Source organism: Homo sapiens, chromosome 1 (genome assembly GCF_000001405.40).
Source record: "Homo sapiens chromosome 1, GRCh38.p14 Primary Assembly".
In the NCBI taxonomy this organism is placed as follows: Eukaryota; Metazoa; Chordata; class Mammalia; order Primates; family Hominidae; genus Homo; species Homo sapiens.
Window position 1 is genome coordinate 236,793,018 of NC_000001.11, and position 12,182 is coordinate 236,805,199.

General features: G+C 41.1%; 1 protein-coding gene across 12 annotated transcripts in view, besides 2 other annotated features; it reads left to right on the plus strand.

The window, feature by feature from the left end:
* MTR (5-methyltetrahydrofolate-homocysteine methyltransferase) overlaps positions 2,264-12,182 on the plus strand; it is a 108,701-nt gene continuing 98,782 nt past the window's right edge. For 4 of the 12 annotated variants that reach the window (XM_011544194.4, XM_017001330.3, XM_017001329.3 and 1 more), the window contains exon 1: positions 2,264-2,720. In XM_011544194.4, coding sequence (XP_011542496.1) covers positions 2,304-2,720 — 417 coding nt within the window. In that variant the 5' untranslated portion in view covers positions 2,264-2,303. Of the gene's footprint in view, positions 2,721-10,410; positions 10,626-12,182 lie in introns of all 12 variants that reach the window. The other 8 variants (XM_005273141.6, XM_047421185.1, XM_047421182.1 and 5 more) reach the window with 3 other exon arrangements.
* Positions 2,301-2,590: an enhancer, noted in NCBI's record as "active region_2826". NCBI's record gives its function as "activates an Ori minimal core promoter by ATAC-STARR-seq in GM12878 lymphoblastoid cells {active_cell/tissue: GM12878}" and the evidence as "EXISTENCE:reporter gene assay evidence [ECO:0000049][PMID:35858748]".
* Positions 2,691-2,880: an enhancer, noted in NCBI's record as "active region_2827". NCBI's record gives its function as "activates an Ori minimal core promoter by ATAC-STARR-seq in GM12878 lymphoblastoid cells {active_cell/tissue: GM12878}" and the evidence as "EXISTENCE:reporter gene assay evidence [ECO:0000049][PMID:35858748]".

Sequence of the window (12,182 nt, forward strand, 5' to 3'; positions counted from 1 at the left end):
GCAGGCTGGTCTCGAACACCCGACCTCAGGTGATCCGCCCACCTCAGCCTCCCAAAGTGCTGGGATTACAGATGTGAGCCACCACGCCTGGTTAATTTTTGTATTTTTAGCAGAGATGGGGTTTCACCATATTGCCCAGGCTGGTCTCGAACTCCTGGCCTCAAGCGATCCACCAGTCTCGGCCTCCCAAAGTGCTGGGATTGCGGGTGTGAGCCACTGCACCCGGCCCAAATAGGGTCATATTCTGAAGCACTGGAAGTTAGGGCTTCAACATATCTTTGAGGGGGACACATTGCAACCCATACAGTATTCTTGGAACTGTAAATCGCGTTTTTGTACTAGAAATTCACTGCCCCTTTAGGCACTATGTATTCCTCTAATCTTATTTGTTACTCTTTTACGACTTTAAGAAATACAGAATTTGGTCAGTTTTAGCTGAGAGAGTAAACTTTGATGACTTGCATCAAACAGGGACTGGCACACAACTCCTGGAATTTCCAGTAAGAGAATGTGAATGGGGGACAGTTGCCGACTAGGTGCCTGAAAGATCATTTTTCAAGAAACACGTCAACAAACTTTGAGGGATACATGATAATTAAAAAACTAGCTTCAACCCGGGAGGCGGAGGTTGCAGTGAGCTGAGCCAAGATCGTGCCAGTGCGCTCCAGACTGTGCGACAGAGTGAGACTCCGTCTCAAACAAACAAACAACTAGCCCTTATAATCTTTTTTTTTTTTTTTTAGACAGGTGCATCTTTACACAGTTAAATTTCACTACTTCTTTTTTTGCAGATAAAAACTCAGGAGTTGAGAAATGAATAAACATAATAATAAATATGAGAAAACCATCATGATTTATCAAGCCTGGATAAATAATTTAATAAGTTCAGCATAGAAGACCTTGCTTTTTTTTCTTTCCTCCTTTTCTTCTTCTTTTTTTTTAACTTATTTATTTCAATAGGTTTTTGGGGAGCAGGTGGTGTTTGGTTACATGAATAAGTTCTTTAGTGGTGATTTGAGAGTTTGGTGCACCCATCACCTAGGCAGTGGACACTGCACCCAATGTGTAGTCGTTTATCCCTCACCTACTCTCACCCTAGCCCTTATAATCTTAAGATTTTTGGCTATTTAGGGCCATCTCATTCCTCCCTCCCTTCTTTGTTGCATTCTCTCTCACCTACTCCATTCCCCCCACCTTCCAAGTAAGACCATCTTTGGTAAGATGGTCTTGGTAAGAATGTGATACGCATTATAATAATTTTTCAAATCTTCAAAATTGAGGTATAATTACATACAATAAAATGAGAATGGCATGCAAATTTGTGCCTTTTTTAAAGCTTAGTAAATGTCATAATTTGGTTATAGTTTTTATTTTTCTGGATGCATTTGCTTTTCCTTACATCTACCATGCTCAGCCTTACAGAGATTTTTCTAGATGAATTTGCTTTTTCTCACATCTACCATGCTCGGCCTTACAGAGCTGCCCTTTATTTTAGAATTCCCTAAAGTGCTGTGTTGTACACAGGGAGCTTCTCCTGACTGGAACAACCTTACCTGGTACCACTCTTCCTTCAGGACCCAGATTCTTCTTTGAAACCTTTCCCTGGCCCCTTTGAATACTCTAGCTCTTTTAAAATGTATGTGGTTCTTTTTTCCCTGTTCAATTATTAATCTAACTAGGTTGTGAGTTCCTCCTCCAAGGACGTGAGGGTGCGATGTAGCTTGTCTGATTTTGCATTCCAAGTGTGTGCCCCAATGCCTGACACATAGTAGGTGCTCAATATATGTTTACTGTCAATAAGTTACAATTAACACCCCCATATGGTAATTCAGAGTTTTCATAGCGCGGTCAAACGATCTCATTTAACGCCTACTACAACCCTAAAAAATTCTAATTACTACCATCCTATCATTCTTGTTTGTAGAGTGTGGAGACTGAGAGGTTAACTGTCTTGCCCAGCGCAAGTCAACAGCAAAACGGAACTAAAATTTCAGGCTCGACACCACACAGCGTGTCGAGATCAGCACGAACTTGGCGCTGTGACTTTTCCTTAGAGGGGCCACTTAGGCTTACACTTCCGGATCCTGGGCACACAGAGACGCGAAAAGCTCCCGCGGGAAACTGGGGAGCGGGACTACATCTCCCAGAGAGCCCCGGGGCTAAACAGCAGGTGATTGGTTGATATTGACAGCCAATGCGGCTGCGAGGAGCTCGGGCAGACCAATCACAGGCCGGAAGGGGCGGGACCTCCCACGCCGAGGATAGATTGAGCGCAGAACTAACCGCGCTCTGAAAGGTTCTAAATGTCTGCGGGGCTCAGAGCCGGATGTCACGTCGTCCTCCTCTGCCGGTTTTCTCTTGGGTCCTTTTCCGTGCCGTCCCGCGACTCCGCCTCTGGCCGCGCGTGTCTGGCTGCTAGGCCGACACCAAGGACTGGCCGGGTACCCGGGAAGAAAGCACGTGCTCCAGCAGTTGCCGCGCCCAGCCCCGAGAGAGGCCCTAGGGCGCTGCGGGCTTTCGGGGTCCGCAGTCCCCCCGCGACGCGAGCCAACGGGAGGCGTCAAAAGACCCGGGCCTTGTGTGGCAGGCTCGCCTGGCGCTGGCTGGCGTGGCCCTTGGCCGTCGTCACCTGTGGAGAGCACGTCTTCTCTGCCGCGCCCTCTGCGCAAGGAGGAGACTCGACAACATGTCACCCGCGCTCCAAGACCTGTCGCAACCCGGTAACGCTGCGACCCCGTCTGCGTGGTTGGGTTGTGTTTCTTAACTCGTGCTGTGGCCTCCTAATCCCTGGGGCGATTCCCTTCTGCGGCGGGAGACGCCCGGCGGTGTTTCCCCGCGTGTGGGCGGCACCTTTAGAACTTAGCGCAGGAGCCCGGAGGGCTACGTGTTTTGCTCCACTCTTTGTCCGACCTTCACCTCTTTCTCCCCAGGCAAGCCATCAAAACCTGCAAAAAGCGTCCTCCCCTCGCCCCCGAAACACATTCTTAACGTCACAGTAACTAAACTTTCCAGTTCCACGCAGCATAAACCAGCTGGGCCCTCTGGAAGTTTTTTTTTTTGCATGGTGTGACGCTTATTCGTAAATATGTATTGCGCACCTACTGCGAAAGAAAGTTCAGGCGCGGAGAGACAGACGAGGAAACTCAGAGAACTATTTAAAACTACTACATGGAACTTTTTATTTTCTGCTTCTACGCACGCTGCTGCAAAACTGCAATATGCATAGACTCACTATGTTAAAATAGATGAGCAGACCCCACCTCCAGATACCGAAATGGGAGGTAGTAATTTCAAGCGATTCTGATGTTGGTGGCCCTGGGATCAACAGTGAGAAAAAGCTAGTTTAGCACGAGAACTGAACGTAATGTTAGCTTTATAACGAGCTCTAGATCTCTAAGGTCATGCCTGATTATAATTTGAGGACAAATACACCCGTAAAAACGGGTGAGGAGATGTAGAAACGAGAATTAGTGATAAGTACAAAACAGTAAATATCCTATCACATAGTGGGGATGTTTAGCTTCAGGAAGAGGGGGAATACTAAATTCGTAACGCACAAGGAAATTTATCAGAGGTTAACCGGTGACTCTCTTGATTCTTGGGTTCTGATAACGGGACTGATATAATTGTTCTTGAAACTAGTGGAACTGTGGCTGAGAAACACATCACTGCTGTTATTAAATAAGATATAAACCTCCCTATGAGAGGTTTATATGTTATTTAATATATTAAATAAGATGTAATGAGGTTACATCTTATTTATATTTAATATTTAATTAATAAATGTAAACCTCCCTATAAGAGATTTATATCTTATTGAATAAATGATCATAGGGAGATCATATTTATTTGGAAAACATCTTTTACTCATGATTTCTGGCCTCCCCCTTCCCATTTAATTTAAACAAGTAAAGTTATTTCCCTTTCATCTGAATTTAGGTGTCATTATCAGGAGCAAAATGCCACTGAAGACTTAAAATACTGTGAATAGTGAGTGATTTAAAAAAAAAAAATAAACTGAAAGGAAAATTGTTGAATGTTTGAATCTTGCCTAGTCCCCTCACCCCCAAGGCTGGCTTCTAGAGTTGAGCACTGAGTGGAGTTTAACCAAGTCTAGGGCCTCTGAAGTTCTGAATCAGGCCATTGTGCCTAGAAAAGACCTTAGATGTAGTCCAGCTTCTGTCTATGTGAGCAACTTTTATTGGGATTAGAATCAGGTTTTAACTTCCTAATAACCCTTAGTAATTTACTGGCGTACAATCTTAATGAAATTTTAATGGAGAGCTGGGAATTCCTGATTCTCAAGGTTGGGCCTTAAAACTAAATGTGACTTCAGACCATGGTTGTGTGCCCTGGGGAAGGAGGATGGTGGGCTAGCAAATACATCTTGGGAGAAAATTTTAACTACAGCTTCTAAAAGTTTCTTGGTTTCATCCTTGCTTAGGACTGTGAGTGTTATTTGGAACTCAATTGATGAGTGATTAATGAAGGAATGAATAATCCAGTGAATTGGTATCAATTGATGAGTGATTAATGAAGGAATGAATAATCCAGTGAATTGGTATCAGCCTAATTCTTCTCCGGCTTATTAAAATCAAAGGGGGAAATAATATATATTAAAAATGGAATACTGCACAAGCAAAGAGATGCCCCCAAAGAAGCTGGGCGCGGTGGCTCATATCTGTAATCCCAGCACTTTGGGAGGCCGAGGCGTGCGGGTCACCTGAGGTCAGGAGTTCGAGACCAGCCTGGCCAACATGGTGAAACCCCATCTGTACTAAAAATACAAAAATTAGCTGGGTTTATAGTGAGCGCCTATAACCCCAGCTACTCAGGAGGCTGAGGCAGGAGAATCGCTTGAACCCTGGAGGCTGAGGTTGCAGTGAGCCGAGATCATGCCACTGCACTCCATCCTGGGTGAGAGAGTGAGACTTAGTCTCCAAAAAAAAACAAAACAAAACAAAACAAAACCAAAAAAACAAAGTGTAGCAAGTCTGTGCAAACTAGAAATTAGAGATCCAAAAATGAAAGAGAGAAGTATCTTGCAAGTGACTTGTAGGGCAGTAGTAAGATTGTTTTTAATAAAGCAAAGAAAGAACAGTGCTGAGAAAGCCTTGGGATCATTTGATTATAATGCAGAAAATAAAAATGTGCTTTTGCTGTATGTGTTCCCCATTTAGCACAGTGGAAAGAGGGGTCCTAAGTAAGTCAGATCTATTTGGGGTCATTTTACCTTCAGAGCAGATGTGTTCTTGACACTGCAATTTATAACTTACATGCACATATTAGGAATTTATTTGTTTAGGCCTTCATCTTGTCATTCTTTAGGCTAGTTCTTAAAGGTGGTACTAGCTGGTCTACCCCCCTCCAAATCTGACTAGGGCTTTAACCACTTATACCTATGTTTATTCTTTGGAACACTTGCTGTGAATCAGAATATTGTTAGCTAGAAAATAAGATGTTAAGGGCACGGAAAAAAACCCCACAAAATATATTGGCTAAATCCACTCAAAACTGGAGAAAATACTGTGTGATCTCTTAGGCTCACTAGCCAAGGATGTTCCTTGGGACTCTCCTCTGCACTGCGGTTATTTACATATATACATTAAACATAAAAATATTTCTGAAATAGTGTTATAACTAGTCAGCTAAGTAAAGGAACTGCAAAACTATATTCTTATATTTACTGTGAAAGATAATCAGAAAGAATCTGCTTTATTTAGAACTTGACTAGTCAGTAGTTAAGTATACAGAATGTTCTAGACCTAATGAACTGAATACAGATAAATACAATTTTGTTGTTCTTCATGGAAGAGTGACATTTCAGTAGATCCCCACTCTGCCAGGGGAAGGAATTGTCAAGGTGACTTATTCTTTTGAGCAAGTTCTGATAGTAATTGGAAACTGGTGAATTAGAATGGTAATTAAAGCCCAGTGAAAAATGACCTCCTACTGGAAAAACTGGAGGAATACAGAAGGCTAAAAATAGTGAACACTTAATACCAACAGATTTTCTGAAGGAAGACTTCTTAGTTTCTCTAAATGGGAAATCTTACATTATCCTCTAAAGGAAAAATAAGCAAGTAGTTGAGGAAACTATGTTTTTTTTTTTCCCCCTTTTTCTTGAGACAGTCTCACTCTGTTGCCCAAGCTGAGGGCAGTGGCGTGATCACGGTTCACTGCAGCCTCGACTTCCCAGGCTCAAGCAGTTTTCTTGCCTCAGCCTTACTAGTAGCTGGGACTACAGGTGCATACTACCAGGCTTGGCTAATTTTTGTTTTTTTTTTTTGTAGAGATGAGGCCACTGTGTTGCCCAGGCTGTTTTCGAACTCGTGGACTCAGTGATCCACCTACTTTGGTCTCCCAAAGTGTTGGGATTACAAGTGTGAACCACCACACCCAGCCCAAGTAATGGATTTTTAAGGGCCTCAGTTGCATAGGAGTTTTTTATTCAGGCTGCAAAATTCCTGTGTTTTATTATATATTCCTTTTTATCTGTATTTTCTATTCACAATTCTCTTGTTTCCATAGACCGCCTTTTTCACATATATCCATATATTTATACATTTTGTTGTAAACTCTAGTCTATAGGTATTTTTAATTCACATTGTATATTACATTCTGGAATGTACAAGGAACTAACACAAATCAATAAGAAAACAAATTAGCTTTAGACATTGAAGAATCTCCCCCAACCCATCGTCTATTATTTTTGTCTATGGTGACTTTCGTTTAACAGAAATCCTTGGTTTTTATGTAATCAAATTCATTGTGTTTTTTTTTTTTAAATTAAGAGGTTGGTCTTTTTGAGTCTTAAGAAGTTCCTTTTCATTCGAAGTCATAAAGTTCTTCCCAATAAATTATACAATAAGTTTGTCAGGTTTCTGAAAAACCAAAGCAGATGTTTTTAAACAGCTTTTGATCTCTTGCCTATACGGTGGCTCAACAAACAAGATGCCAGAATTTGCATGTGTGGGGCTGGGTTGTTTTGTGGTAAATAGTGAACTGTCTTAAAGTCCAAAAACAAAGCTTATTATTTCTGGATTGAAAAGGGAATACAGTAAGGGCCCCATGGAAAAGTACTAAGACTTTTTATGAAAATGAGGGGTGGAGGCACTCTGAGTGGTTAGATTTGCTCAACTTGTGTGCACTCGCTCAGTGGAGGAGATAGGAAGAAGGACATGTAAATAATAGGATATTGATTGATATTGATTAATCATTTTGCCGATGCCAAAGGACATACTTCACTGTCTGTGGAAAAGATTGCCTTTTTCTCCCTAGGAAGTTTGAATACCTTTTAAATATGAAATTTCATGTGCATGACCTATTTCCCCACTGCCACACCTCATGCTCACACTAGGCTTATGATTCAGTCACCCACTTAAGTTCACGTGATGTCATTTCAGGGAGAATTGCAGCTACATCCTTTTGAGAAGAAAGCGATTCAGCTGGGCATGTAGGTTAGAGTCTTTAGTTCTTAGTCTTCTCATTCCTCCTGTGAAATTATCTACATTTAACAGCTTTCACTGAGTATTTTCTTCTTTCACTCGACTGTTAGAAGACATTTCCCAACCTGCAAATATGCCATTCCTGCCCCAACATGACCAACTGAGAGCTTCAGGCTTTACATGATTTTTCACAGCCCACTGAGCTTTGTAATATATAGAACACAATCTTTAGAGCTTCAGTCCTTGCTGTGCTATAATACCAACATAATAAGAGTAGCTAATATTTATCAGATGTTTACTATACATCAAACACCAATGTCTCATTTCATGACTTGTGTGACTTAAGAGGTCCAGTTCTTAACACATGGTCTCATTTTAGTATCACAGTTCTGATGATGAAGGCAGGGCTGATGTTTCCTCATCTTGCTGAAGCATGGAGAGGACTTGTCTAAAATCCCATAGCTACTAAGGGGAGCTGGGGCTAAAACCCAGATTTCTTGGGTTTTCACACCCTGCTACTATTAGCTTAAGCCTATCAAATTCTGAGTGCTTATTGGCTGATAGGATAGTCACATCATGGAGTGCCTAAATTAACACTACATGTGAATTTACCGTGTCGACTATAGCTTGAAATGGCGCCCACTGCCTGATGCCTACCAGTCTTTCTATTATACATGCTTCATTAAGCCCTACCTTTTCTCCACATTTCCCAAGAAGTGATTTTCTTTGGTTCTTGAAGTACTTTTGTACAGATCATTGGAGCTTAACTTCGTTCCTTTATCAGGAAGTGTTTTATCTCACCTGCAAGTTCAGTAAACACAATTAGCAAGTGAGGTGGCTTTGGAAAGGAATAGTACACCCTGAAAGAAACATAGTGCCCAGAAACTAGATATTGGATATTGCAAATTTTTCTTTTAGGTTACTAGAGCCACCTTCCTGAAGCCCACTTGGAGAAAGTCACTCAAAATAGTTCTGTGACCACCATTTAGCCCCAGTTCTCATATTGTATACTTGAGACTCTGGACAGTAAGACGAGGCAGGGTTGTAAGTTTGCACCCAATACCAGCTTACAAATATTCTTACATTACTGGTTTGGGTTTTAAATTATCTTTGCCTCTTCTTTCTCATCTTCCCTCACTTTTTTGTCATTTCAATTAAAGAAATATTTGCCAAGTACTGACCTTAGTGTTGCTAGGCATGAGTTCCAAGGAGCTCAGATAGCTTAGAACCAGCCCCATTTGACTTGAGCTTTTCTCGCCTCTTAGCACAGAAGGAATGGGTTGGCGTCATTATGGTTTGTTTTGAGTAACATGTATTCAGTCTGATATGCTATAGGGAGTTGTTGAAGGTGTTTGAGCAGGGGAAGCAACTGGTTTAAAATTGTTGTATAGGAAGATAAATCTGGTAGTGGTGCACAGGATGGATTAGAACACAGGGCGACTGGGTATGGTGGTGATCTCTTACCTTTGTAGGACACTTGATAGTTTACAAGGCACTTCCATAGATGTATGATCTCATTTGCATGGATGCAAACTAGAGCTCAGAGAGGATTGGTGATAGCTGGCCTGTGTAGTAAGGGGTTGAAGAAAGGGGTTGTCACAGGGCGAGGAAGGTGGGACCATTGTGCATGGCATTTTAGAGGCCAAATCTATAAGGCTTGGGATCTAAGTAGATGTTGGTTATCAGGGAGAATAAGGAGTCAGATAATACTGAGATTTTATGGTTAGTCTTCTGGGAAGGGTGTTGCCATTTACAGAAATCAGGAGATGAGACAGAGAATATATGCAAGTTTGGTTTTGAATATTAGATTGAGGGGCAGGTGGGTAGTTGAGGTAGCCATATCCAGTGGACAGTTTAAAAGCTGGGTCTAAGATTGGGGCCAGGTGTTTTTGATATTTAGAAGGTCATTGGTGACTTTAGAAAGTAATTTCAGGAGAGTGGTGGAGGAGGAAGCCATGTCAGAAGGATAAGAAATCGGTGGTTGCTGAGGTGGAACTGTGGGAGTGGGAAGGGCTAGATGAGGGAGCAGTGGGAGGTGTTGGTCATCATGCGCTTTTCCTTAGGTACAGAAAGAAGGGAAATAGAGTGAGCCAGACTGCAAGAGGATTTTGAGGTGGAGAGGGTGTGAGTTTGAGGAGCCTCCAACAGAAAACTTCTTTGTACGGGATTAGGTGAAATCACTTGTGGAGTGAGGAGGAAAAGGATTTGGTGCTAAAAAAAAAAGTAGAAATTGGGACAGTAGATGTTGGAAGTATTGAGGGAGGTCAAGAAAAGGTGAACCAAAGGAGGCTGAACGTTGCAAGTTTTCAGTGACTCCAGTCAGCATAGTTTTGTGGCTTTCCAGTAGGTCGTAGAAACCAGAAAGCAGGATTAGAAGGAGTAAGCATTGGGCCCTTTTCTGGACTGGGAATTAGAAGTCAAGGAGCATGGGGAGAGTTGAGAAGTTCAAGGGTGTTAGCCAGTTATTATTTCATAGTTGGGCAGAGGTGAGTAAAACTCTGTTTGCAGGCCATTATTAGTTCTGGCAATAGGTGAGGGAGAAGGTCAAAGCTAATATTTTAAAGAATAGTTTGGAATTATTGATGGTTTTCAATTATCTCTGCTAAATCATTTTATTTAGGGAGTATCTGCACAGAATTAACAAGGAAAGAGAGCAAAGTCTTGTATCACTGGCCCATTATTGCCTGTTTTCCTCATCTGTAAAACAGGAGTAGTGTAGCCTACCTTCACCTTGGTTTCGTGCTTCACCAGGAATTTTGTGCTGTGTGCAATCTTGTATTAGGCATTGTCACGACTTAATGACCTTTTTGGGCAGCGTTTTCCTATATAGAGTTATGAGTGCATCTTTTATAAACTCCATTTACTCCTTATTGGAGATTATTATAAATTTCTCTAAAGCTCCTCCCTCACACATCTTTTTCACCTTTCATTCTTTGAAGTCAAACTTTCACTTTCTTTAAAGAAGGTCTGAAGAAAACCCTGCGGGATGAGATCAATGCCATTCTGCAGAAGAGGATTATGGTGCTGGATGGAGGGATGGGGACCATGATCCAGCGGGAGAAGCTAAACGAAGAACACTTCCGAGGTCAGGAATTTAAAGATCATGCCAGGCCGCTGAAAGGCAACAATGACATTTTAAGTATAACTCAGCCTGATGTCATTTACCAAATCCATAAGGTAAAGTATTCCCAGGTTCCCATGTGTATTCATTCTGTTATTCTGCAAGCTGTTTCATGTATCAGGGCAGGCTGCTATGCCGAGTGCTCCGGAGAATAAAGAATAAAGAGGCAATTTATTCAGAAAGCAGGTTTTGGACATCAAATAAAAGTTATGTACTGTGTTAAGCACTCAGGATAAGGGAATGAGGTAGGTAGGTTTTCTGCCCTTGAGGCATGTAAACTCTAGTGAAAAACTATGAGAATCTGGACAAATAAGGGTTTTCACACTAGTGAGTGTGAGAAAACTATCTTATTTAAGTTACTGCAACAGCCCTGATGAAGAAATGCTTAAAGGTGGTTGGTATCTTAGCTTTGGCTGCTGTATTACCTGTTACCATAGACTGGGTTATACAAGCACACATTTATTTCTCACAGTTCTGGAAGCTGGAAGTCCACAGTCAAAGTGCCAGCAGATCCTGTGTCTGGTGAGGGCCCTCTTGTTTATAGATAGCTGTCTTTGTATCTACATGACGGAGAGCAGAGAGAGAACAAAAAACTCTCATATTTGTGCTTATAAGGGCACTGCTGTGTTCTCAATGTTTGTGTCCCCATGAGATTCATATGTAAAATCCTAATGCCTAGTGTGATGGTATTAGGAGGTGCCCTTATAAAAGAGGCTCAAGGGCGCTTATTCACCCCTTCCACCATGTGAAGATACAGTGAGAAGATGCTGTCTATGAACTAGAAAGCTGGCGCTCACCCATTATAAAATTCTAAGATACAATTATCATTCATGTATTTTGTATTTTAGTCTAGTTTTCTATACTTGGAGTTTAAAAAATTAAATTGGGATTACATTGCTTCGTACTGTCTTATAATTTGCATTTTTTACTTATATACCATGAGTATTAAATATTCTGGAACATGGTTTTAATAACTTCATAATCTATTCCATGTATATATCATCATTTATTTAACTAATCTCCTTATTCCTAGGCATTAAGTTTATTTTCAGTTTTTCTTGTTCTTTTAAAAAAAACTTAAATTAGTTCTTATAAAACAAATCTCGTAGATAATACATTCCCATTTGACCATACTCTAAATTGCTATTTTTTCCCCAGAGATAACCACTGATATTAGTTGGTGTGTGTCGTCCCAGATTCCTTTGTTAGGCATTTTCATATATGTGTATGTGTGTATACGTGAGTGAATATATATATGTAGAAAACTCATAGTACTCTGTGTATGTTTTTTTAATTTAATGGTGTCATGCTTTACGTATCATTCTATTTTTTTTTTTACTTAACAATACTTTGCAGAATCTTTCCATGTCAGTATTTGTAGATATACACAGTTTTTTTGCTGTCACATGGCATGTAATAAAGTGGATATATTTTAGTTTATTTAGCTGTTTCCCTATGGGTAGATATTTCGGATGTTTGTTATTGTTACTATAAATGTGCGTATCTTGGTTTTTATCTCCCAGTGCTTCTGCAACCATTGTCCATCGACTTAAGAGGGGTTGGGTTTATTCAGTATTGGAAAATCAAGGGGGTCAAGGGATTCCAGGTTGCTA